General features: G+C 39.3%; 1 protein-coding gene across 3 annotated transcripts in view; it reads left to right on the top strand.

Annotated features, from left to right (window-relative positions):
- ZRANB3 (zinc finger RANBP2-type containing 3) overlaps nucleotides 1–26597 on the top strand; it is a 334250-nt gene that overhangs the window by 234113 nt on the left and 73540 nt on the right. For 2 of the 3 annotated variants that reach the window (NM_032143.4, NM_001286568.2), the window contains exons 9-10: nucleotides 21351–21470; nucleotides 25219–25338. In NM_032143.4, the coding sequence (NP_115519.2) occupies nucleotides 21351–21470; nucleotides 25219–25338 (240 nt within the window). Of the gene's footprint in view, nucleotides 1–21350; nucleotides 21471–25218; nucleotides 25339–25710; nucleotides 25806–26597 lie in introns of all 3 variants that reach the window. The other variant, NM_001286569.1, reaches the window with a different exon arrangement.

The raw sequence follows: 26597 nt of genomic DNA, 5'->3' as shown, positions 1-26597 counted from the left end.
CAGCTTTGAAGAGAGTAGTGGTTCTCCCAGCACACAACTTGAGATCTGAGAATGGGCAGACTGCCTCCTCAAGTGGGTCCCTGACCCCCGAGTAGCCTAACTGGGAGGCAGCCCCCAGTAGGGGCGGACTGACACCTCACATGGCAGGGTACTCCTCTGAGACAAAACTTCCAGAGGAACGATCAGGCAGCAGCATTTGCGGTTCACCAATATCTGTTGTTCTGCAGCCACCGCTGCTGATACCCAGGAAAACAGGGTCTGGAGTGGACCTCCAGCAATCTCCAACAGACCTGCAGCTGACGGTCCTGACTGTTAGAAGGAAAACTAACAAACAGAAAGGGCATCCACACCAAAAACCCATCTGTATGTCACCTTCATCAAAGACCAAAGGTAGATAAAACCACAAAAATGGGGAAAAACAGCAGAAAAACCAGAAACACTAAAAATCAGAGCGCCTCTCCTCCTCCAAAGGAACGCAGCTCCTCACCAGCAACAGAACAAAGCTGGATGGAGAACGACTTTGACGAGTTGAGAGAAGAAGGCTTCAGAAGATCAAACTACTCAGAGCTAAAGGAGGAAGTTCGAGCCAATGGCAAAGAAGTTAAAAACCTTGAAAAAAAAAATTAGACGAATGGCTAACTAGAATAACCAATGCACAAAAGTACTTAAAGGACCTGATGGAGCTGAAAACCATGGCACGAGAGCTGCATGACGAAGGCACAAGCCTCAGTAGCCGATGCGATCAATTGGAAGAAAGTGTATCAGCGATGGAAGATCAAATGAATGAAATGAAGCAAGAAGAAAAGTTTAGAGAAAAAAGAATAAAAAGAAATGAACAAAGCCTCCAACAAATATGGGACTATGTGAAAAGACCAAATCTACGTCTGATTGGTATACCTGAAAGTGACGGGGAGAATGGAACCAAGTTGGAAAACACTCTGCAGGATATTATCCAGGAGAACTTCCCCAATCTAGCAAGGCAGGCCAACATTCAAATTCAGGAAATACAGAGAACGCCACAAAGATGCTCCTCGAGAACAGCAACTCCAAGATACACAATTGTCAGATTCACCAAAGTTGAAATGAAGGAAAAAATGTTAAGGGCAGCCAGAGAGAAAGGTCGGGTTACTCACAAAGGGAAGCCCATCAGACTAACAGCAGATCTTTCAGCAGAAACTGTACAAGCCAGAAGAGAGTGGGGGCCAATATTCAACATTCTTAAAGAAAAGAATTTTCAACCCAGAATTTCATATCCAGCCAAACTGAGCTTCATAAGTGAAGGAGAAATAAAATCCTTTACAGACAAGCAAATGCTGAGAGATTTTGTCACCACCAGACCTGCCCTACCAGAGCTCCTGAAGGAAGCACTAAACATGGAAAGGAAAAACCAGTACAAGCCACTGCAAAAACATGCCAAATTGTAAAGACCATCGAGGCTAGGAAGAAACTGCATCAACTAATGAGCAAAATAACCAGCTAACATCATAATGACAGGATCAAATTCACACATAACAATATTAACCTTAAATGTAAATGGGCTAAATGCTCCAATTAAAAGACACAGACTGGCAAATTGGATAAAGAGTCAAGACCCATTAGTGTGCTGTATTCAGGAAACCCATCTCATGTGCAGAGACACACACAGGCTCAAAATAAAAGGATGGAGGAAGATCTACCAAGCAAATGGAAAACAAAAAAAGGCAGGGGTTGCAATCCTAGTCTCTGATAAAACAGACTTTAAACCAACAAAGATCAAAAGAGACAAAGAAGGCCATTATGTAATGGTAAAGGGATCAATTCAACAAGAAGAGCTAACTATCCTAAATATATATGCATCCAATACAGGAGCACCCAGATTCATAAAGCAAGTCCTTAGTGACCTACAAAGAGACTTAGACTCCCACACAATAATAATGGGAGACTTTAACACCCCACTATCAACATTAGACAGATAAACGCGACAGAAAGTTAACCCCAGCTCTGCACCAAGTGGACCTAATAGACATCTACAGAACTCTCCACCCCAAATCAACAGAATATACATTCTTTTCAGCACCACACCACACCTATCCCAAAATTAACCACATAGTTAGAAGTAAAGCACTCCTCAGCAAATGTAAAAGAACAGAAATTATAACAAACTCTCTCTCAGACCACACTGCAATCAAACTAAAACTCAGGATTAAGAAACTCACTCAAAACTGCTCAACTACGTGGAAACTGAACAACCTGCTCCTGAATGAGTATTGGGTACATAATGAAATGAAGGCAGAAGTAAAGGTGTTCTTTGAAACCAACGAGAACAAAGACACAACATACCAAAGTCTCTGGGACACATTCAAAGCAGTGTGTAGAGGGAAATTTATAGCACTAAATGCCCACAAGAGAAAGCAGGAAAGATCTAAAATTGACACCCTAACATCACAATTAAAAGAACTAGAGAAGCAAGAGCAAACACATTCAAAAGCTAGCAGAAGGCAAGAAATAACTAAGATCAGAGTAGTACTGAAGGAAATAGAGACACAAAAAACCCTTCAAAAAAATCAATGAATCCAGGAGCTGGTTTTTTGAAAATATCAAAAAAATTGATAGACTGCTAGCAAGACTAATAAAGAAGAAAAGAGAGAAGAATCAAATAGACTCAATAAAAAATGACAAAGGGGATATCACCGCCGATCCCACAGAAATACAAACCACCATCAGAGAATACTATAAACACCTCTATGCAAATAAACTAGAAAATCTAGAAGAAATGGATAAATTCCTCAACACATACACCCTCCCAAGACTAAACCAGGAAGAAGTTGAATCCCTGAATAGACCAATAACAGGCTCTGAAATTGAGGCAATAATTAATAGCTTACCAACCAAAAAAAGTCCAGGACCAGATGGATTCATATCCAAATTCTATGAGAGGTACAAGGAAGAGCTGGTACCATTCCTTCTGAAACTATTCCAATCAATAGAAAAAGAGGGAATCCTCCCTAACTCATCTTATGAGGCCAGCATCATCCTGATACCAAAGCCTGGCAGAGACACAAAAGAAATGAGAATTTTAAACCAATATGCTTGATGAACACTGATGCAAAAATCCTCAATAAAATACTGGCAAACCGAATCCAGCAGCACATCAAAAAGCTTATCCACCATGATCAAGTGGGCTTCATCCCTGGGAAGCAAGGCTGGTTCAACATACGAAAATCAATAAACGTAATCCAGCATATAAACAGAACCAAAGACAAAAACCACATGATTATCTCAATAGATGCAGAAAAGGCCTTTGACAAAATTCAACAACCCTTCATGCTAAACACTCTCAATAAATTAGGTATTGATGGGATTTATCTCAAAATAATAAGAGCTATCTATGACAAACCCACAACCAATATCATACTGAATGGACAAAAACTGGAAGCATTCCCTTTGAAAACTGGCACAAGACAGGGATGCCCTGTCTCACCACTCCTATTCAACATAGTGTTGGAAGTTCTGGCCAGGGCAATGAGGCAGGAGAAGGAAATAAAGGGCATTCAATTAGGAAAAGAGGAAGTCAAATTGTCCCTGTTTGCAGATGACATGATTGTATATCTAGAAAACCCCATCGTCTCAGCCCAAAATCTCCTTAAGCTGATAGGCAACTTCAGCAAAGTCTCAGGATACAAAATCAATGTGCAAAAATCACAAGCATTCTTATACACCAATAACAGACAAACAGAGAGCCAAATCATGAGTGAACTCCCATTCACAATTGCTTCAAAGAGAGTAAAATACCTAGGAATCCAACTTAGAAAGGAAGTGAAGGACCTCTTCAAGGAGAACTACAAACCACTGCTCAATGAAATAAAAGAGGATACAAACAAATGGAAGAACATTCCATGCTCATGGGTAGGAAGAATCAATGTCATGAAAATGGCCATACTGCCCAAGGTAATTTATAGATTCAATGCCATCCCCATCAAGCTACTAATGACTTTCTTCACAGAATTGGAAAAAACTACTTTAAAGTTCATATGGAACCAAAAAAGAACCCACATTGCCAAGTCAATCCTAAGCCAAAAGAACAAAGCTGGAGGCATCACACTACCTGACTTCAAGCTATACTACAAGGCTACAGTAACCAAAACAGCATGGTACTGGTACCAAAACAGAGATATAGACCAATGGGACAGAACAGAGCCCTCAGAAATAATGCCGCATATCTACAGCTATCTGATCTTTGACAAACCTGAGAAAAACAAGCAATGGGGAAAGGATTCCCTATTTAATAAATGGTGCTGGGAAAACTGGCTAGCCATATGTAGAAAGCTGGAAGTGGGTCCCTTCCTTACACCTTATACAAAAATTAATTCAAGATGGATTAAAGACTTAAATGTTAGACCTAAAACCATAAAACCCCTAGAAGAAAACCTAGGCAATACCATTAAGACATAGGCATGGGCAAGGACTTCATGTCTAAAACACCAAAAGCAATGGCAACAAAAGCCAAAATTGTCAAATGGGATCTAATTAAACTAAAGAGCTTCTGCACGGCAAAAGAAACTACCATCAGAGTGAACAGGCAACCTACAGAATGGGAGAAATTTTTTGCAGTCTACTCATCTGACAAAGGGCTAATATCCAGCATCTACAATGCACTCAAACAAATTTACAAGAAAAAACAAACAACCCCATCAAAAAGTGGGCGAAGGATATGAACAGACACTTCTCAAAAGAAGACATTTATGCAGCCAAAAGACACATGAAAAAATGCTCATCATCACTGGCCATCAGAGAAATGCAAATCAAAACCACAATGAGATACCATCTCACACCAGTTAGAATGGCGATCATTAAAATGTCAGGAAACAACAGGTGCTGGAGAGGATGTGGAGAAATAGGAACACTTTTACACTGTTGGTGGGACTGTAAACTAGTTCAACCATTGTGGAAGTCAGTGTGGTGATTCCTCAGGGATCTAGAACTGGGAATACCATTTGACCCAGCCATCCCATTACTGGGTATATACCCAAAGGATTATCAAACATGCTGCTATAAAGACACATGCACACGTACATTTATTTCGGCACTATTCACAATAGCAAAGACTTGGAACCAACCCAAATGTCCAACAATGATAGACTGGATTAAGAAAATGTGGCACATATACACCATGGAATACTATGCAGCCCTAAAAAATGATGAGTTCATGTCCTTTGTAGGGACATGGATGAAGCTGGAAACCATCATTCTCAGCAAACTATCGCAAGGAGAAAAAACCAAACACCGCATGTTCTCACTCATAGGTGGGAATTGAAGAATGAGAACACATGGACACAGGAAGGGGAACATCACACACTGGGGCCTGTTGTGGGGTGGGGGAAGGGGGGAGGGATAGCATTAGGAGATACACCTAATGTTAAATGACGAGTTAATGGGTGCAGCACACCAACATGGCACATGTGTACATATGTAACAAACCTGTATGTTGTGCACATGTACCCTAAAACTTAAAGTATAATAATAATAAAATTAAAAAAATAAAATAAAATAAAAATAAAAAATAAAAAGAATTTTTAAAAATGAACATAGCCTCCAAGAAGTTGGGGATTACGTTAAACAACCAAACCTAAGAATAATTAAGAATGGCCAGGTGCTGTGACTCATGCCTATAATCCCAGCACTTTGGGAGGCCGAGGGGGCTGGATCACTTGAGGTCAGGAGTTCAAGACCAGCCTGGCCAACATGTTGAAACCCCGTATCTACTAAAAATACAAAAATTAGCTAGGTGTGGTGGCACACGCCAGTAATACTAGCTACTTGGGATGCTGAGGCTGGAGAATCGCTTGAATCTAGAAGGCAGAGGTTGCCTTGAGCCAAGATCATGCCACTGCACTCACTCCACCCTGGGTGACAGAGTGAGACTCTGTCTCAAAAAAAAAAGAATTAAGAATAATTGGTGTTCCCGGGCCAGGCGCAGTGGCTCACGCCTGTATTCCCAGCACTTTGGGAGGCCGAGACAGGTGGATCACCTGAGGTCACGAGTTCAAGAGCAACCTGGCCAGCATGGTGAAACCCCATCTCTAGTAAAAATACAAAAAGGAGGCTGAGGTATGAGAATGGCTTGCCTCTCTGGGAGGCAGAGGTTGCAGTGAGCCAAGAACATACCACTGCACTCCAGCCTGGGTGCCAGAATAATTGGTGTTCCCTAGGAAGAAGAAAAGTCTAAAAGTTTGGAAAACTTATTTCGGGGAATAATCAAGGAAACCATCCCTGGCCTTGCTAGAGATCTAGACATCCAAATACAAGAAGCTCAAAGAACACCCAGGAAATTCATCGCAAAAAGATCATGAAACTAGATCTTGAAACAAATCCTTGAAATACACCAAAACAGAACCTCCTTAAAGCATAAATCTCACAGGGCCTGTAAAACAATGACACAATGGGGTGGGGGTGGAGGGGGGGAGCCCAAGGTATTCAGGCAACAACTAGCACAATTAATAGAATAGTACCTCACATCTCAATACTGACGTTGACTGTAAATGGCCTAAATGCTGCGCTTAAATGTTACAGATTGGCAGAATGAATAAGAATTCATCAACCAAGTATCTGCTGTCTTCAGGAGACTCACCTAACACATAAGGATTCACATAAACTTAAGGTAAAGCGGTGCAAAAAGATAGTCCATGTAAATGGACACCAAAAGTGAGCAGGAGTAGCTATCCTTGTATCAGAAAAAAACAGACTTTAAAGCAACAACAGTTAAAAGAGACAAACAGGGACATTATATAATGATGAAAGGACTAGTCCAACAGGAAGATACCACAATCCTAAATATGTATGCACCTAACACTGCAGCTCCCAAACTTTTGAAACAATTACTACTATACCTAAGAAGTTAGATAGACCACAACACAATATAGGGGAACTTCATTACTCCACTGACAGCACTAGACAGGTCATAAAGACAGAAAGTCAACAAAGAATCAATGGACTGAAACTATACCCTAGAATAAATGGACATAACAGATATGTACATAACATTCTGCAGTTGTACCCTAGAACAAATGGACTTAACAGATATTTAGAGAACATTCTACCCAACAACTACAGAATATACATTATATTCATCAGCACATGGAACATTCTCTAAGGTAGACCATATGATGGGCCACAAAACAAGCCTTAATAAATTTCAGAAAATCGAATGTTTTTGTTTTTGTTTTTGAGACAGGGTCTCACTTTGTCACCCACACTGGAGTGCAGTGGCAGAGTCTTGACTCACCACAACCTCTGCCTCCTGGGTTCAAGCAATTCTCCTGCCTCAGCCTCCCATGTAGCTGAGATTACAGGCATGCGCCACCACTCCCAGCTAATTTTTGTATTTTTAGTAGAGATGGGGTCTCACTATATTGGCTAGGCTGATCTTGAACTTTGGTCCTCAAGTGATCCACCTGACTTTGCCTCCCGAAATGCTAGGATTACAGGCTTGAGCCACTGAGCCCAGCCAAAAAAATCACATTGTATCAAGTACTCTCTCAGACCACAGTGGAATGAAATTATAAATCAACTCCATGGCCGGGCACAGTGGCTCACGCCAGTAATCCCAGCACTGTGGGAGGCTGAGGGGGGTAGATCACAAGTTCAGGAGTTCAAGACCGGCCTGGCCAACATGGTGAAACCCCGTCGCTACTAAAACTGCAAAAATTAGCCGTGCGCAGTGGCAGGCACCTATAATCCCAGCTGCTTGGGAGGCTGAGGCAGGAGAATCACTTGAACCTGGGCGGCAGAGGCTGCAGTGAGCCGAGATCACGCCACTACACTCCAGCCTTGGCGACAGAGTGAGACTCCGTCTTAAAAACAAAAAAAGAAATCAACTACAAAAGAACCCTCAAAACCATGCAAATACATGAAAATTAAATAGTCTGTTCCTGAATGATCACTGAGTCAACAATAAAATCAAGATTGAAATTTATAGATTCTTTGAACTGAATGATAATAGTGACACAGCCCATCAAAACCTCTAGGATACAGCAAAAACAGTGCTAAGAGGAAAGATCATAGCATTAAATGCCGGCATCAAAAACTGTGAAAGAGCACTAATAAGACAATCTAAGGTCATACCTCAAGAAACTAGAGAAACAAGAACAAACCAGACCCAAACCCAGCAGAAGAAAAGAAATAACAAAAGTCAGAGCAGAAGTAAATGAAATTGAAACAACACACACACACACACACACACACACACACACACACGATAAATGAAGCAGAAACAAGTTCTTTAAAAATATAAACAAAGTTGATAGACTATTAGTGAGGCTAACCAAGAAAAGAAGAGAGAAGATCCAAGTAGGCTCAATTAGAAATGAAAAAGGAGATACTACAACCAATACCACAGAAATACAAAAGATTATTTAAGGCTGCTGTTAACACCTTTATGTGCACAAACTAGAAAACCTAGAAGACATGGATAAATTCCTGGAAATATACAACACTCCTAGATTAAACCAGGAAGAAATAGAGACTCTGAACAGACCAATAACAAGCAGCAAGATTGAAATGGTAATTTAAAAATTGCCAACAAAAGAAAGTTCAGGACCAGATGGATTCACAACTGAATTGGTACCAATTCTATTGAAACTGTTCCGAAAGATAAAGTGGGAATCCTCCCTAAATCATTATATGAAGGCAGTATCACCCTAACACCAAAACCAGGAAAGGATATAACAAAAAATGAAAACTACAGACCAATATTTCTAATGAACACAGATGCAAAAATCCTCAACAAAATACTAGCTAACCAAATCCAACAGTATATCAAAAAGATAATCCACCATGATCAAGTGGGTTTCATATTAGGGATGCTGGGATAGCTTAACACACACAAGCCAATAAATGTGATACACCACCTAAATAGAATTAAAAACAAAAATTACATGATCATCTCAATAGATGCAGAAAAGGCATTTGACAAAATCCAGCATCCTTTTGTGATTAAAACCCTCAGCAAATCATCATAGAGGGGACATATTTTAAGGTAATAAAAGCCATCTATGACAAACCCACAGCGAACATTATACCAAATGGGGAAAAGTTGAAAGCATTCCCCCCTGAGAACTGGAACAAGGCAAGGATGCCCACTTCACCACTTCTATTCAACATAGTACTGAAAGTCCTAGCCAGAGCAGTCAGACAAGAGAAAGAAATAAAGGGCATCCATGTCAGCAAAGAGAAAGTCAAACTGTCATGGTTTGCCAATGATAAGATCGTATACCCAGAAAACCCTAAAGACTCATCCAGAGAGCTCCTAGATCTGATAAATGAATTCAGTAAAGTTTCAGGATACAAAATCGATGTACACAAATCAGTAACATTGCTATACACTAACAGTGACCAAGCCAAGAATCAAGTCAAGAACTCAAGCTCTTTTATAATAGCTGCAAAAAAAAAAAAAAAAAAGGAAAGAAATATACCTAACCAAGGACCTGAAAGACCTCTACGAGGAAAACTACAAAACACTGCTGAAGGAAATCACAGACGACACTAACAAATGGAAACACGTCAACACATCCCATGCTCATGGATTGGTAGAATCAATATTGTGAAAATAACCATATGGCCAAAAGCAATCAACAAATTCAATGCAATTCCCATCAAAATAACCATCATCATTCTTCACAGAAGTAGAAAAAACAATCCTAAAATTCATATGGAACCAAAAAAGACTCATCATAGCCAAAGCAAGACTAAGCAAAAAAGAACAAATCCAGGGGTATCACATTACATGACTTTGAACTGTACTGTAAGGTTATAGTCACCAAAACAGCATGGTACTTGTATAAAAATGGGCACATAGACTAATGGTACAGAATAGAGAACCCAGAAATAAAGCCAAATATTTACAGCCAACTGATCTTCAACAAAGCAAACAGAAAGATAAAGTGGGGAAAGAACACTCTATTCAATAAATGGTGCTGGGATAATTGGCAAGCCACATGTAGAAGAATGAAACTGGATCCTCATCTCTCACCTTATGCATAAATCAACTCAAGATGGATCAAACACTTAAATCTGACCTAAAACCATAAAAATTCTAGAGGATAACATTGGACAACCCCTTCTAGATATTGGCCTAGGCAAAGAGTTCATGACCAAGAACCCAAAAGCAAATGCAACAAAAACAAAGATAAATAGATGAGACTTAAATAAATGTAAAAGCTTCTGCACAGCAAAAGGAGCAGTCAGCAGAGTAAACAGACAACCCACAGAGTGGGAGAAAATCTTCACAAACTATGCCTCCAACAAAGGACTAATAGCCAGAATCTACAAGGAACTCAAACAAGTCAGCAAGAAAAAAATAATAATAATAATCCCATCAAAAAGTGGGCTAAGGACATGAATAGACAATTCTCAAAAGAAGATATGCAAATGGCCAAAAAAAATGAAAAAATGCTCATCATCACGTATTATCAGGGAAATGCAAATTAAAACCACAGTGCGATACCACCTTATTCCTGTAAGAATGGCTATCATTTAAAAATCAAAAAATAAGGCCGAGTGCAGTGGCTCACGCCTGTAATCCCAACACTTTTAGGAGGCCAAGGCAGGCAGATCACTTGAGGCCAGGAGTTTGAGACCAGTCTGGCCAACATGGTGAAACCCCGTCACTACCAAAAATACAAAAATTAGCCGGGTGTAGTGGTGTGTGCCTGTAGTCCCAGATACCTGGGAGGTTGAGGAAGGAGAATTGCGTGAACCTGGGATGTGGAGGTTGTTGTGAGCCGAGATTGTACCACTGCACTCCAGCCTGGGTGGCAAAGCCAGACTCCCTCTCAAAAAGAAAAAGAAAATGGAAAGGCGTAAGAATGATACAATGGGACTTTGGGAACTTGGGGAAAGGGTGAGAGGGGTGTAAGGGATAAAAGACTACACATTGGATGCAGTGTACACTGCCCAGGTGATGGGTGCACCATAATCTCAGAAATCACACCTAAAGAACATATCCATGTAACCAAACACCACCTGTTCCCCCAAAAACCTAATAAAATAAAAATAAATAATAAAACAATGGAACATTTTTTAAAATAATGATGATAAATAGTAAAGGAATGAACCAAAAATAATCAATGTTACCAGTACAAAGTCAACTATTGGAGAATCTCTGATAATTAGGACAATTACTTTTCTTCTATATCATTATTTTTGTTGCTTTGTAATGTATGTTGAGAATACAATGGATGAAAATAAACAAATTCTTCAGATTTGTGATCAGCATAATATTCTCCTAGAAAAAAAACAGTTACATGTGTTACATATGGTCTAGCCATCTCTCAATTCAAGTACATTACAACAGGCACATCAAAACAATGCCTTATTTTTAGAAGAAACCATTTTGGGAGAAATGCCAGTTATTTTTCTATGAAAAGGATTAAAGCCAACCCATAATTTAAAATTTCTTATCTCTAGAGGGATGGCAGCATTCCTTCGTGCCTTAACAACTTTCCAGAAGGCAAATTACTTTAAACACGTTTTCCTTATGCACAAAGTGTGTTTCCTCTTTAATTGCCTCAGCAGCTTAGCACAGGTGGAATCCTATTTATAATATTCAGTGAGGTATAATGAGGCCACTGCAATATTCCCTGCTGCACAGGGTCTGGGAAGATATGAGACTGAAGAGTGCTTCTTCTTGTGCCAGTTCTGTAGTTTCGGAAAGGATCTCTGGCTCTGAATTGGGGACACTCTGCCTCCTCTTCATTAGCAGGAAAGTCAGCAATAATCAATACAGTGCAAATAAAATAATAATGTTACCATTTTAGAGGATGAAAGAGTATATTAACTATATGGAGATGTGGCATGGAGGAAGGCTTTATTAAAGATAAGGAAATAATCCACTTGAGTGTTGTAAGGTTTTTGAGGTGGCAAGAATGGGTAGGTTGGAATCACAAATAGAGGAGTTTACCATAGAAAAAGAAGAAATAACCTCTTTGCCAGGCGCGGTGGCTCATGCCTGTAATCCCAGCACTTTGGGAGGCCAAGGCGGGTGGATCACCTGAGGCCGGGAGTTCGAGACCAGCCTGACCAACATGGAGAAACCCCGTTTCTACTAAAAATACAAAATTAGCCAGGCGTGGTGTTGCATGCCTGTAATCCCAGCTGCTCAGGTGGCTGAGGCAGGAGAATTGCTTGAACCCAGGAGGCAGAGATTGCAGCGAGCCAAGAGTGCACCGTGGCACTCCAGCCTAGGCAACAAGAGCAAAACTCTGTCTCAAAAAAAAAAAGAAAAGAAAAGAAAAAAAGAAGAAATAACCTCTCTTGTTACAAAAGGAAAGGAAGTGAGGATGAGTAAAGTAAGGAAAGGTGGCCGGGTGCGGCGGCTCACGCCTGTAATCCCAGCACTTTGGGAGGCCGCGGTGGGTGGATCACGAGGTCAAGAGATCGAGACTATCCTGGCCAACATGATGAAACCCCGTTTCTACTAAAAATACAAAAAATTAGCCGGGCGTGGTGACAGGCGCCTGTAGTCCCAGCTACTCAGGAGGCTGAGGCAGGAGAATGGCGTGAACCCGGGAGGCGGAGCTTGCAGTGAGCTGAGATCGCGCCACTGCACTCCAGCCTGGGCGACAGAGCGAGACTCCGTCTCAAAAGCAAACAAACAAACAAAACAAACAAGGAAAGGTAACAGAATTCTCAGATGTGATTCTGTTTTCTTTGGGCAAGGGGTGGTTTGAAAGCCAGGAGTCATAGGTTATGATTTCAAAGGAAGTGGAAGAGGTTGAAATAGTTTTTGCATTTTACTGGAGAAATATGCTAATAATAAGAGCTAATACTTTTATAATGTTCACTATGTGCCAATCACTAATCCAAGCATATTTCATGGACTAACTTATTTAATTTTCACCACAACCCTATGCGGTGTAGGTACTTTTATCTTATTTTATAGATGAGAAAATTAAAGCACAGAGATTAAGTGACTTTCTCAATGTCTCTCACATTGTAAGTGATGGAGCTAGGATTCAAACCCAGACTGTCTGGCTCCACAGTCCATGTGCTTAGCCATCATTCAACAAAGATAGCTTAATAGACATAATATTTGTTAGTGACCATGGATTAATGTGTTACCTGTTTTTCTATTAGTGATTTTTTTTAAGGGTCAGGGTCTCGCTCTTGTTGCCCAGGCTGGAGTGCAGTGGTGTGATCATGGCTCACTGCATCCTCTAACTTCCGGGCTCAAGCAGTCCTCCCACCACAGCCTCCTGACTAGCTGGGACTACAGGCATGAGCCATCATGCCTGGCTTCCTATTAGTGATTTTTCAACATCCCTAAATAGGCATGGAAAAGATACAGACTTTAAAGTCTGTACATTCTGTGTATTTTGATTTTTAACACCCAAATAAGGTGTATTCTGTACTTTAGTAGGACAAAGTTGATTATCTTATTGTCATGACTAGTGGATGGAGTTTAGAAATAAATCAAGAATGTTTTTAAAAATTGAATTCAGTTTTTTTTTTTTTTTTAGACAGAGTCTCGCTCTGTCACCAGGCTGGAGTGCAGTGGCATGATCTTGGTTCACTGCAACCTGTAACCTCTACCTCCCGGCTTCAAGTGATTCCCCTGCCTCAGCCTCCCAACTAGCTGGGACTACAGGTGTGCATCACCACGCCCAGCTAGTTTTTTTGTATTTTAGTAGAGATGGGGTTTCACCATGTTAGCCAGGATGGTCTCGATCTCCTGACCTCGTGATCCACCTGCCTCAGCCTCCCAAAGTGCTGGGATTACAGGCGTGAGCCACCGTGCCTGGCCTGAATTCAGTTTTAAAAGAATTAGATTAGCTGTTTTGTTTGTTTGAGACAGGGTCTCACTCTGTCACCCAGGCTGGAGTGCAGTGGCACAATCACAGCTCACTGCAGCCTCAACCTCCCAGGCTCAAGCAATCCTTCTGCCCCAGCCTCCCAAGTAGCTGGGAATATAGGCACATGCCACCACACCCGGCTAATTTTTAAATTTTTTGTAGATACAGGCACCCACTATGTTGCCCAGTCTTGTCTCAAACTCCTGGGCTTGAGCAGTCCTCCTGCCCCAGCCTCCCAAAGTGCTGGGATTATAAACATGTGTCGCTGTGTCTGGCCTAGATTAGCTGTTTTGATCAGTGACTTTTATGATCAAACCTCCATGAAAATAACTTTTTTAAAGCTCATAATACTATTGGCTTTACTTTGTCAAAATTTGGGTAAATTTTGGGTAAATGGAATTAGGTCATTCACAGGAATGTTCTCATGTATCCTTGCCAAATTGATAGATTGATTGATAATGATTGCCTTATTATAACTTGTTCTGAAAACCTTATGGAAAGATTTAGGATCCCAGGGTTTTTTTGTAAAACTATGCTGGTTAAGATATTAAATTGGAATTGCCTTCTTCACAAGGTATTGTATCCCATCTACTTTTCAGCATGCTGCTTGTGGAACTCCATCAGTGTCAAAAGATTAAATGTATTAGAGGTATTAGATTTGTATTTGCAGATATATTTATAAGGAAGTAAAATACTCCTTGAGATAAGAAAATAATACTTTTGATAGTTCACTGGAACCATCTTTTGAAGTGAAACTAGTGTTTCTTTGGGAAAATTTGGGCATGAGGCTCTGTAAAAATGTTCAAAGCCCTGACATTATGGTATGGAAACTGCCAGTCTTCTCCTGAAGGCTGTCTCCTACCAGATTTGGAAATGTTTACTAACAGATTTGAAAATGTTTTTTCAGGCTAATGAAAAAGTTTCTAAATTAAAAACTATTGGCAAAGGGGGAAGGGATACCGGAAGACAATGTCTAGCCTTCCTTTTGTGGTGAGCTGCAGAAGCTAGGTGGGGAGTAAATAAACAATGCATATTCTCCTTTACTTTGGTACTTGGCTCTGCTTATTTAAGATAATTTTAAAGGATAGTAAGTAAATCAACTATCACAAAATAAATAAGTTATTAAGGAACAGTATAAGGTGAGCTAGATAAATGAATAAAAATAAGAGAGTATATCAACTGATGGGTAAATAAAATGCATATATATTCATACAATGGAATATTATTTGACATTAAAAAAGAAATGAAGTGCTGATGTATGCTACAACATGGATTGGAAACCATTACACTAAGTTAAAGAAGCTGTCTCAGAAAACACATATTATATGATTCCATTTATATGGAACGTCCAAAAGAGTCAAATCCATAGAGACAGAAAGTTAATTAATGTTTACCTAGAGCTGAAATGATGGGCAACTGGGGTGTGACAGCTGAGAGGTAAAGGAATCCTTTTTAGGGTAATGAAAAGGTCCTAACATTGTTAGGTTGTGATTTTTGTGATGATACACAATTCTGCAAATGTACTAAAAGCCATTGAATTGTACACTTTAAAAGAGTGAATTTTATGGTATGTGAATTGTATCCCAGTGAAGCTATTTTTTAAAAAAGAGAGAGAACCCAGGTTCTTCTGTCTTCTGTTGTCTGACCCAGTTCACTGCTTGCCCTCAACAGCTCCTATTATAGCCCCAAGATGACTGCTGCATTCCGGGATATCAGATATCAAGTGCAGCCTATAATGTCCAAAGCAAGGAAAAGTGTTCCTAAGAGTGCCTTTGTCAGGGAGGATGTTTTTTTGAAACCCCCAGCAGACTCCTCAGGTGTCATATTAGTCAGAATCATTTGCAGGGGAAAGGAAAATGCTAGGTTTGCTTAGACCAATCACAATTTACCTGTGACTAAGAAGACATTAAAAGAGCTTTAAAAAAAAAAAGAGCTTAAAAGGTCATGCGATACCTGAACAAAACTATCATTTGATTGGGTTCTGAGGACTTCAGGACTTAAAGGGAAGCTTCCTTTGTGCTCACACTCTCTTAGCTGCAAGTTATAGCTGTTAAAGAAAAGATTATTCTGACTTGTTAAAACAGTAGGGAAGACTACTCAAGACTATTGCAGTAGAGGTCAACTCTTTTGCAATAGACGAGAGAGGTTGAGCTCAATTCCAAACACAAGGACAAGTAGAGATTTATAGCCAGCAAGTAGGTTGAGAGAGTTGATGAATGGAAAATTACTAAGAGGAGACATCAAGGGTAAGGGGATTCTTGCTAAAGACAGGCCAAGGGTTTATACATCAAAGGTACGGAATAAGGAACTAGATCCAATATCAAGAGTGGGGGGATTTTCACTGAAATGACTTAGTGGGGTTCCTATAAGACTGGGCTATGCAGGCCTGGCAAGGACAGGATGGACACTGAAGGCCAAGGTGAGGGCTTAGTTGCAAAGAGGGCTCAGGGGAGCCTAACTAAAGTTAGGTCAAAGGAGAGTCTTTGTCATAGCTCAGGTTTGAAGTTTTTGTCTTTCTTTTTTTTCTTTCTTATTATTTGTTTAAAAGCCAACAATTTGAAATCAAATAACTTTTAACAGGTCTTTAGTGCAATACAGATTTTTCTTTAACTACTTTTACTTCAGAAAGTAAGATGTGTACATCTTCACTGAAAAAAAAATCATGAATATTCTCTTCATTGTTGTATTTTATTTAATTTATTTATTTATTTTTTGAGATAGTTTTACTCTTGTTGCCCAGGCTGGAGTGCAATGGTGTGATCTCAGCTCACCGCAACCTCTGCCTCCCGGGCTCAAATGATTCTCCTGCCTCAGCCTCCCGAGTAGCTGGGACCACAGGCATGTGCCATCACACCCGGCTAATTTTGTATTTTTAGTAGAGATGGGGTTTCTCCGTGTTGGTCAAGCTGGTCTCGAACTCCTGACCTCAGGTGATCCACCCACCTTGGCCTCCCAAAGTGCTGGGATTACAGGCATGAGCCCCCACGCCTGGCCTGCATTTTTTTAAATAAGATATAATGTATAGTCTTCATTAATTACTTAAATTAGATCTTCGACTAACAGGCTTATTACTAACAGATCAATTCTAGTAAAATAAAATAGAGTTTTGAATACATGCATTTTCTGCAACTTCTGTGAAACCTGAACCGACACTACCAAGATGCTGATTATTATGAGGACCTGCTATTCCACATACTATGTACTTAAGATCGTTTGGAAGCAAATTCCTGTTCAGATAATTTAAAATCTGATGATGCAGTGATAGTTTTTATTAGGATAAAATCAAAATAGTTAAAATGCATGCATAGTACATTTTAAAATGAAAATCTATGTAATCCCCATCTTAAGAACCTAAGAGAATCCCAAAAGTTCATTTGTTACTTTTGATGTTTTGGTATTCCCAACACATTTTCTCCTAAAAAGCAATATCACAAATGATGGTTAAATTGCTTTGTTAGTCCTAAGAGCCTATTTAGTCAGTTATGTAATTGAACTTTATAATAATGTTAGTAACCGTAAACCTTTTTGAAGCACTAGTGGAAAGGAGTGGGAAAAGGGGGGCTTGAACTTTGGCATTGGCATCTCTGGTTGTGATGGAAGCAGGTGATATCAGTGGAGGAGACTCTAAGAAAAATTGCTCACTTGGGAAGAGGAGGGGGAATCCATCCGAGACTAGAGGTTTAGCAATTATATAGTTTGTAAGTCTGGACTGGATAGTAATGAATGTACCTTAAAAGTACTCCATCTTGACATGTACATTTTGAAAGGCTTATCACAGTAAATATAGCTCTTTAGGCAAATATGCACTTTATTAAAGTGGTTCAGTTGCCATGACAACATATCCAGAATTTATAGCTCCTTATTTTGACAGTACTTCACTTCCACTTTCCAAGGCACTGAAATCCAAGGCTAAAGTTCTTAACAGCCCCTACTCTCATTGTATGATGAATTTCTGTGGTTTAGAAAACTTAGACATGCAAAATGTAGTTTGCAGAATCTGTCATGTGACTTTATAGTCATATGTATGAATTTTAAGTAGGTATTTTTCAGTTTTGAAATGCCTCCTTTTTAATTTTTTATTATTGCCAAAGCTACATAGTATCATAGTTTAATGACCAGAGATCCAAAAAATAACAGTCCCCTAACCTTATTTCTCAAAGGCAACAACCTTCTTTTCTTTCAGCTGATTTTTTTTTTAGTATTTACTTCAAATCCCTCAACACCATACTTATATTGCTGCTTTGTTTGTATTACTATTTGCTTTGTAATTTTAGCTGTCATCAATTGGCTTCTTAATACGGAAGATTAAATTTTAGCCCTGTCCCCTATTGCCCCACTCTCACACACATATCTTCCTGTTATTTCCATCCTTCCATGAAAGTCATAATCATAGTTTTACTGATTATATAGGAACTTATTACCAATTTTGGCTTGATCAGTATTCACCATGTTTATTATTAGAACCATATTTATAACATTTACAGGTGAAACATGGTATGCTATGGATACGTTTTCTTCCACAACTCATTTTATTTTCTTTGGCATTAATAATTATAAAGGTTTTTCTTTTCTTCTTTTATTAGTTTTCTGTGTAGTTGTCACTAATCCATCCTCAAAGTTTCCCCTAGTTATTTAACCTCCTCCCAATATCTTTAAACATTAAGCATTGTATTAATCTCATCTTCTTAAAGAAATTTCACCTGATTCCTTCTGATTAGCTCCAGTCTGAACTGTTACTCTTTAGGCCTGCTGCAGAGCTCTCATCCTGGAGATTTTTACCTCTTTCCTTTATATATTATTTTCTTTCTTTGTTTACTTCCTTGTTTTGTTGGAGCATTTTGTCCAGTAGCCTCCCAAGAAATGGTATATTGGAAGCAAATTATTTGCATTCCTTGCATATTTGAAAATATTACTATTCTATCTGATTTTTAATTAGCTGGATATAAAAATGGGGAAATCATTTTCTCTCATTTCTGGTATTGGTATTGAGAAATCCAATACAATTCAGAATTGTTATTCTATTTTGATTCTATGAAATCTTTTCTTCGCTTTTCTGGAAGCTTATAGAATCATTTCTTTGTCCCAGTGTTCTAAAATTTCTTGATAATGAGCCTCGTTCTGGGTCTATTTTCATTCAATGTGAAAGACACGTAGTGGGTCTTTTCCATTTTTCATTTTGGAAACTCATGCCCTTCAGTTATGTAGAACTTTATTTCTTTGATGATTTTTGTTAGTTTTCTCTGTTTGTTTTCTGAGACTTTTATTATTCATATATTTTCATATATTGCCCTCATGACCTGATCCCCTACCTAATTATTTTACATTTTATATTTGTTTTTTTTTTTTGTTTTTTTTTTGAGACAGAGTCTCACTGTTGCCCAGGCTGGAGAGCAGTGGTGTAATCTCGGCTCACTGCAACCTCCACCTCCCAGGTTCAAGCGATTCTCCTGCCTCAGCCTCCCAAGTAGCTGGGATTACAGGCACGTGCTACCACACCCAGCTAATTTTTGTATTTTTAGTAGAGACGGGGTTTCACCGTGTTGGCCAGGCTGTTCTTGAACTCCTGACCTTAAGTGATCTGCCCGCCTTGGCTTCCCAAAGTGCTTGGATTACAGGCGTGAGCCCCCGCACCTGGCCTATATTTTATATTTTCTGTTTACTTTCTGGGAGATTTCCTTAGCTTAATAACCAATGAATTATCCATTTCTGCTATTATATTTTTCATTTCTGATAGTACTGTTTTTCTTCTTTATATCTGTTTTTTTTGTAGCATACTGATCTTGTTTTATAAATGCAATCTCTTCCAGTTTTCTTAGCTCTGTATATGTGATCCGTTCATACATGTTGCTTTCTACAAATATCTATTGATCTTTGGTTGGTTGCTTATATTTACAAGAAAGACACTAACCACTGACTAGAAGCTCTGCGCATGTATACAATTTATAGACTGTGGCCTTCAATAAATGGTGATCTGAATGGGATGTCTCCCTGGGAAACCCCTGATAGCAGTATCTTTAGTTTTTTCTCTTGGCTGGTCAGATTCCTTAGAAAAGAATCACTTTATATGATTCTGCTCTCTTGCCTGAAGGACATAAGCCTGTTTCTGTTTTGGGAAGTATAGGGGAAAGAAGGCTGGGACAGAGGGGCAGATCTCAGCATTTATTTTGTAACTTTCATGTAATCCCCATGAGTTTTGTAGGATATACCTATCATCAATATAGGATTCCTCCATCCAAATACCCTCTATTTTATCCACTCCAGAGAATAAGTCTGTAGTTTTCTACCAGAATGGTTATGGTAGTTACCTATTATATGGAATAGGTAGAGAGAAGGTAAATAGCAGTATTGCACATAATCAACTACTTAAACATTATTTCAGCAGGTCCTCCTAACCACACTCCTACCCCCCATTCCAGAGGTGTCATTTTCTGAACCTTTTTAGGTGACTGCAACGTAAATCAAGTGCTTCTCCACTTTCCATAGCCAGTTTAGGATCTGTGAGATTGGTTAATCAGTTATCAGTCATTATCTGCTTTTTAGCTTCCAAAGTTTTGTTGCTATTGACTTTTCTCCAGTTCTCTTTGTCCCTTTACACTTGCTATCTTTTAAACATAGCATTGAGAAGGAGCAGAAGTTAAATGTGGTCAGCCTGGTATCTTTTTCCACAATTTCTACATAACCAGTTTTTAAAAGTTAAAAGATACATAGATTTTAAACTTAATTCATGCTATCCTCTTTAATTCGTATTTGCTTCATATCAAATTGATTTTTCACTCTTAGTAAGTAACTTGGCCTCAAGTTACCTGTTAATCTGAACTTTTTAAATTTTCTTCCTTCTGTGTCATAATTGTTCTATATGTCCCCCTGTTCTCTCAGACCTCACTACCGTTGTCTTCATCCCATCACTCCAGCCTCTTCTGGAACCTTCTCCATCCCAGAGATAAGCTAAATGACCTCATTTCCATTTCTCTTAATCTGTGTACTCCTTGAACTGCTTATTTGTAAGTCTACCTAAGTTTCTTAAGTAAAAAAAAAAAAAAAAAAACTTTCCTTAAACCTTAAGCTTCAGTCCCTGATTTCTTACTGTTTTCAATCTTCCCTTTTAAAAAAAAATGCTCTTCATCTGATTTTTTTGCTTTCTGTTTTCTCCTTAACTCTGTTCTACTTGGTCTTATATATAAACTTTTTTGAAAATCACCTTCTAAACAAAACTGCCAACTCCTTCTTGGCCATAGCCTACTTGACTACCTCCTTTCCATTGAAACCCATTGTTGTGTTGTTTTTTAATTCTTCTAATTCTTGTCTTCTTCTCATTTAATTGCTCAGTTTTTCCCCTTCTTGTCCCTCTTCTTTTACATTTTCCTTATATGTGGGCTTCTACTTCCTTAGGCTACCTAGAGAACAATGCAGCTAAAAGTTCATATTTACTGATTTTCAAGCCATTTTTCTTGCTTTATTAAAAGTGACATAAATTTTAAATAATCATTTTTATGACACTAATAAGGTTTACCTTTTAATATTTAGGCAGGTGCTGTAAAGGATTATATTAAGATGATGCTTCAGAATGATTCGCTTAAATTTCTGGTTTTTGCTCACCATTTAAGCATGCTCCAAGCTTGCACAGAAGCAGTCATCGAAAATAAGGTATGTTGCCATTTTTTAACTAAATACTTTTTAGAATGCATATTTTTACTATACTAAACATCAGTTGTAGTCTCATAGTTGAGGTGTTTTTTGTCTTCTTTAGATGATGGTATATAAATTATCACACATTTTTCTTGAAAATTATATTAATATTATATGATGATGATTATATACTATTAAATTTTCTCTTTTCTTAACTGATCTCATAATTTTCCACTGACCAAATTATCTGGATTGATTAAAGATATGCTGCCATGCCAGCCGCCCCATCTGGGAGGGAGGTGGGGGTCAGCCCCCGCCTGGCCAGCCACCCCATCTGGGAGGGAGGTGGGGGGCAGCCCCCGCCCGGCCAGCCGCCCCGTCCGGGAGGGAGGTGGGGGGCAGCCCCCGCCCGGCCAGCCGCCCCGTCCGGGAGGTGGGGGGCGCCTCTGCCCGGCCGCCCCTTCTGGGAAGTGAGGAGCCCCTCTGCCCAGCCGCCACCCCGTCTGGGAGGTGTACCCAACAGCTCATTGAGAACGGGCCATGATGACGATGGCGGTTTTGTCGAATAGAAAAGGGGGAAATGTGGGGAAAAGATAGAGAAATCAGATTGTTGCTGTGTCTGTGTAGAAAGAAGTAGACATAGGAGACTCCATTTTGTTCTGTACTAAGAAAAATTCTTCTGCCTTGGAATGCTGTTAATCTATAACCTTACCCCCAACCCCGTGCTCTCTGAAACATGTGCTGTGTCCACTCAGGGTTAAATGGATTAAGCGTGGTGCAAGATGTGCTTTGTTAAACAGATGCTTGAAGGCAGCATGCTCGTTAAGAGTCATCACCACTCCCTAATCTCAAGTACCCAGGGACACAAACACTGCGGAAGGCCGCAGGGTCCTCTGCCTAGGAAAACCAGAGACCCTTGTTCACTTGTTCATCTGCTGACCTTCCCTCCACTATTGTCCTATGACCCTGCCAAATCCCCCTCTGCGAGAAACACCCAAGAATGATCAATAAATACTAAAAATAAATAAATAAAAAATAAATTAAAAAAATTTAAAAAAAGGTTGCTAAAAAAAAAGATATGCTGCCATGATAGGCTATAATGTGAATTTTATTTTTGTTCCTGGATATACCGTTTTAGAGTGGTGTAGACAGTTAAACGTTAGACTTTTTATTTACCTACACAGTGGCCTTTGAATGTGGGTGACATAGAGAGGAAAGAAAGAATGAACTTGGCCAATGTTAGTACCCAACTGCAGTCATACTATTTAAACTTCCAGGCAATATATGGAAAATGATTACTAAAATTTAGTGTAGATGTATTTGAAACATATGGCCCAAGTAATTTATCAGGTTAGCTCCATCAAGCCATGTGGCTTTACTGCATCTTCTTAGGTCTACCTTGATTTCCAATAGTCCACCAGTGAGTGACAACATCTTCCTTTGTTTCTATCAAAGATAAAAACTTAGTATACATTGTTTAAACATTAGGTAATATGTTCATTAATATTACCAAAGACATACTTCTAGTGTTTCCTTCATAGGAAGAGTTATAATAAAGTGCTATACATTAAAAGGTACTTTCTCATTGGTTATCATATAGTTTCTGAAAAACACCCTCTAAGAGTTAATTAACCTAAATATTTTTTAAATGATTGGGCAAGAAATTAGATTCGTAATATTTTTCTTATTCTGATTCCATTATACCTTAAAACTACTGGGATCGATTCCAAGTATAATAGTCTTTTTTTCTTACATCCATTTTACTGATATGTTTAGAATCCCATTTAGCTTTACTAAGAGTTAAAAATGTAGATATAGGCCAGGTGCGGTGGCTCACACCTGTAATCCCAGCACTTTGGGAGGCCGAGGCGGGCAGATCATCTGAGGTCGGGAGTTCGAGACCAGCCTGACCAACATGGAGAAACTCTGTCTCTACTAAAAATAAGAATTAGCCGGGCGTGGTGGCACATGCCTGTAATCCCAGCTACTCGGGAGGCTGGGGCAGGAGAATCGCTTGAACCTAGGAGGAGGCAGAGGTTGCAGTGAGCTGAGATCCCGCCATTGCACTCCAGCCTAGGCAATAAGAGCAAAACTTCGTCTCAAAAAAAAAAAAATGTAGATATTCATGGGGTTGGAGGTGAATTTTTCCCCAACTTTTCCTACCCTGACAATGTATTTTCTTTAGAAAGACCCTGAGAGAATTTTATAATCTTCCTTAATGGCTATTAAATGGTTTACTGGTTAATGTATACTTGCTCTTTGAGGACAGAACGTTAATACGGGACATTCTTTTTAATAATTAACTTGGATATTCCCTTATAAAAGTGAATATTCATATGTTCCAACTATTTAAGGCTATATTTTCTATGGCACTACATACATGAATAAGGTTTTTTGAAATTTAGGAGTTATCATTTTTAGAAGTTGAATAATGATTTCTTTTTTTCTTTTTTTTTTCTTTTTTTTTTTTGAGACAGTCTCGCTCAGTCGCCCAGGCTGGAGTGCAGTGGCTAGATCTCCACTCGCTGCAAGCTCCGCCTCCCGGGTTCACGCCATTCTTCTGCCTCAGCCTCCCGAGTATCTGGGACTACAGGCGCCCGCCACCACGTCCAGCTAATTTTTTTGTATTTTTTTAGTAGAGATGGGGTTTCGCCATGTTAGCCAGGATGGTCGTGATCTCCTGACCTCGTGATCCATCCTCCTCGGCCTCCCAAAGTGCTGGGATTGCAGAAGTGAGACACCGCGCCCGGCCAATAATAACTTCTTTTTAGCTATTCTAACACATAGTGATAACCCCCTTGTCTCAACTCAAATCATTCTTAAAGACAACAATGTTCGGTTTAACACTTAATGTTTCCCTACTTTTCAAAAATGTGTGTGGGTGCCTCAGTGCCCCACCTCTCTGGAGATGACCATATCACATATTTCTTTAAAGTTTAATAATGTGAAAAACCAGAATTAAAAGCTCTATTTTCCAGCCGGGAGCGATGAGGCGGGGGAATCACGAGGTCAGGAGATGGAGACCATCCTGGCTAACACTGTGAAACCCTGTCTCTACTAAAAATACAAAAAATTAGCCGGGCGTGGTGGCGGGCGCCTATAGTCCCAGCTACTCAGGAGGCTGAGGCAGGAAAATGGCGTGAACCCGGAGGCGGAGCTTGCAGTGAGCAGAGATCCCACCACTGCACTCCAGCCTGGGTGACAGAGCAAGACTCCGTCACAAAAAAAAAAAAAAAAAAGCTCTATTTTCCCAGTTAATATTTGGGATATTTCAGAAATAAATGTACTACTCTTCATGAATCCGTGATTTGTGGGCAGAATCATCTTTCTCTTTTCTCACATGTCTGGCTGTATTTTCACTTTAGAATTAGTGATCTTATAACTTTAGAGTTAGTCTGATCCATGGTTTAAAGTTTGCGTGTCAATTTACGTAGAATTTTACTGAAGACAACATTAGCTTAATTCATAAAAGATTTGTGGAGCTTCTGCTATATACAAGGCATTGCCCTTGGCATTGATGGGATAAAGATGAATTAGACATAGACTCTACCCTCAAGTAGCTTAAAAGATTAAAAAAATAAGAAATTGTTATAAGAAGCTATTAAAAATCTTGGTTAAGATTCTTCTTGTATAACATTTACCAATCTGTCACCTTAACCAAGTTCCATTTTGTTATGTGACCATAAAAATAAGCTGTAAAATATATAAAATGAGATGGGTACATAGGGCCTTGTCCTAATTTTGCCGTTTTCCTTGTTGATGCTAGACTCGTTACATTAGGATAGATGGAAGTGTTTCATCTTCAGAAAGAATACATCTGGTTAATCAGTTTCAAAAGGATCCTGACACTCGCGTGGCTATCCTAAGCATTCAGGCTGCTGGCCAGGTAAGAAATTTCAAGTCTAAATTTGGTTATGAAATGTCATTGAAATAAGAAAAAAGGCCATTCACTATAACTTTGGTTTATAAACTTGTAACTTTGTATCTGGATGCCTTGTATAATAAATAGTAATTCTTCTTCAGAGAGTTCCAGAAAGTATAATAGAAAGAGGCCTCGATGTCTTTGACACAGATCTCCTAAATTTTCAAGGAAAGGATGTCTTTGAAAGAATATACTTTCAAAGAAGAGTAAGAAGAGTATAGTTAATTTGATTGTAATATTTTTGCCTGACCTTTTTTCCTTCCTTTGAATTTGTATAGGCTTTTCTTATACCTGTCTTATATCCAACCCTTCACTTACTTGATTGTGTTGCATTAGGACCTGTATGACAAGGTGGCCTGGGGGAAAAGAACTCTTGTCTCAGGACTTTTTATGGAGTGCTTCTGTTTTGTCCCTTAGGATTAAGTTTGAAGGCAAGTAAACAGAAATTCAGATTAAGACTGACTTAAATACACAAAGTTTAATTCTCTTATGTAGACAGTCCAGGCCTAGCCTGATGTTTGCACAAAGTCCTTAGGACCTATACCCCTTCTCGCTTTCTGCTTTACCACTCTTAGCAAGTATGTCTTATCTAAAAGGGCTGCTAGAGCTCCATCTTATCTGCAGTCTAAGCAGCTGCCTGGAGAAAAGCACACTGCATCTCTTATAGTTAGTCCCACAACCACACCTAATTTCAAGGGAAGCTCGGAAGAGTATTCTTTATTCCACGTAGCCCTGCTAAAAATTGGGTGTTATGTTACAAAGGAATAAGAGAAGGATAGATATTAGGGAAAGTAATGGCAGTCTCTGCCACAGTAGGTAAGAGGGGATCTTCTGGACTGTTTTTCTGCCAGCATTCTAAAATACTTTGTTGTAAATGTCTAAGCTAGGATATTTAACATAGGGAAAAGTAATTGAGCATACTGCTGTTCAGCCAAGCTGGTACATGCCAAAGATCTGCTTTTACTCGGCTAATTAAAGTATATAAAATTATATACAGAGAGAAACTTTATGAGGATGAAGCAGTTCCACAACTCTCTGGGAGTTCTAACCAAAAGGAGGGTTGTCTCAATGCTTCCCTCATGTTCAGTTAAACTTCCAATAATCGGAGTTATTTATCTGTTAGACTGTTCCAGCCACAGAGAATATCATCAAAAAGGGCTTAGAATTAGAAATGAAGTACTTAGAGCTGGGGAGGTGCTAAGTAGGAGAAAGCCAGACAGGAG

The sequence above is a fragment of the Homo sapiens genome, chromosome 2, assembly GCF_000001405.40.
Source record: "Homo sapiens chromosome 2, GRCh38.p14 Primary Assembly".
NCBI lineage: Eukaryota > Metazoa > Chordata > Mammalia > Primates > Hominidae > Homo > Homo sapiens.
Note: the sequence above shows the minus strand (reverse complement) of the source record. Positions and strands in the feature narration are given on the sequence as shown.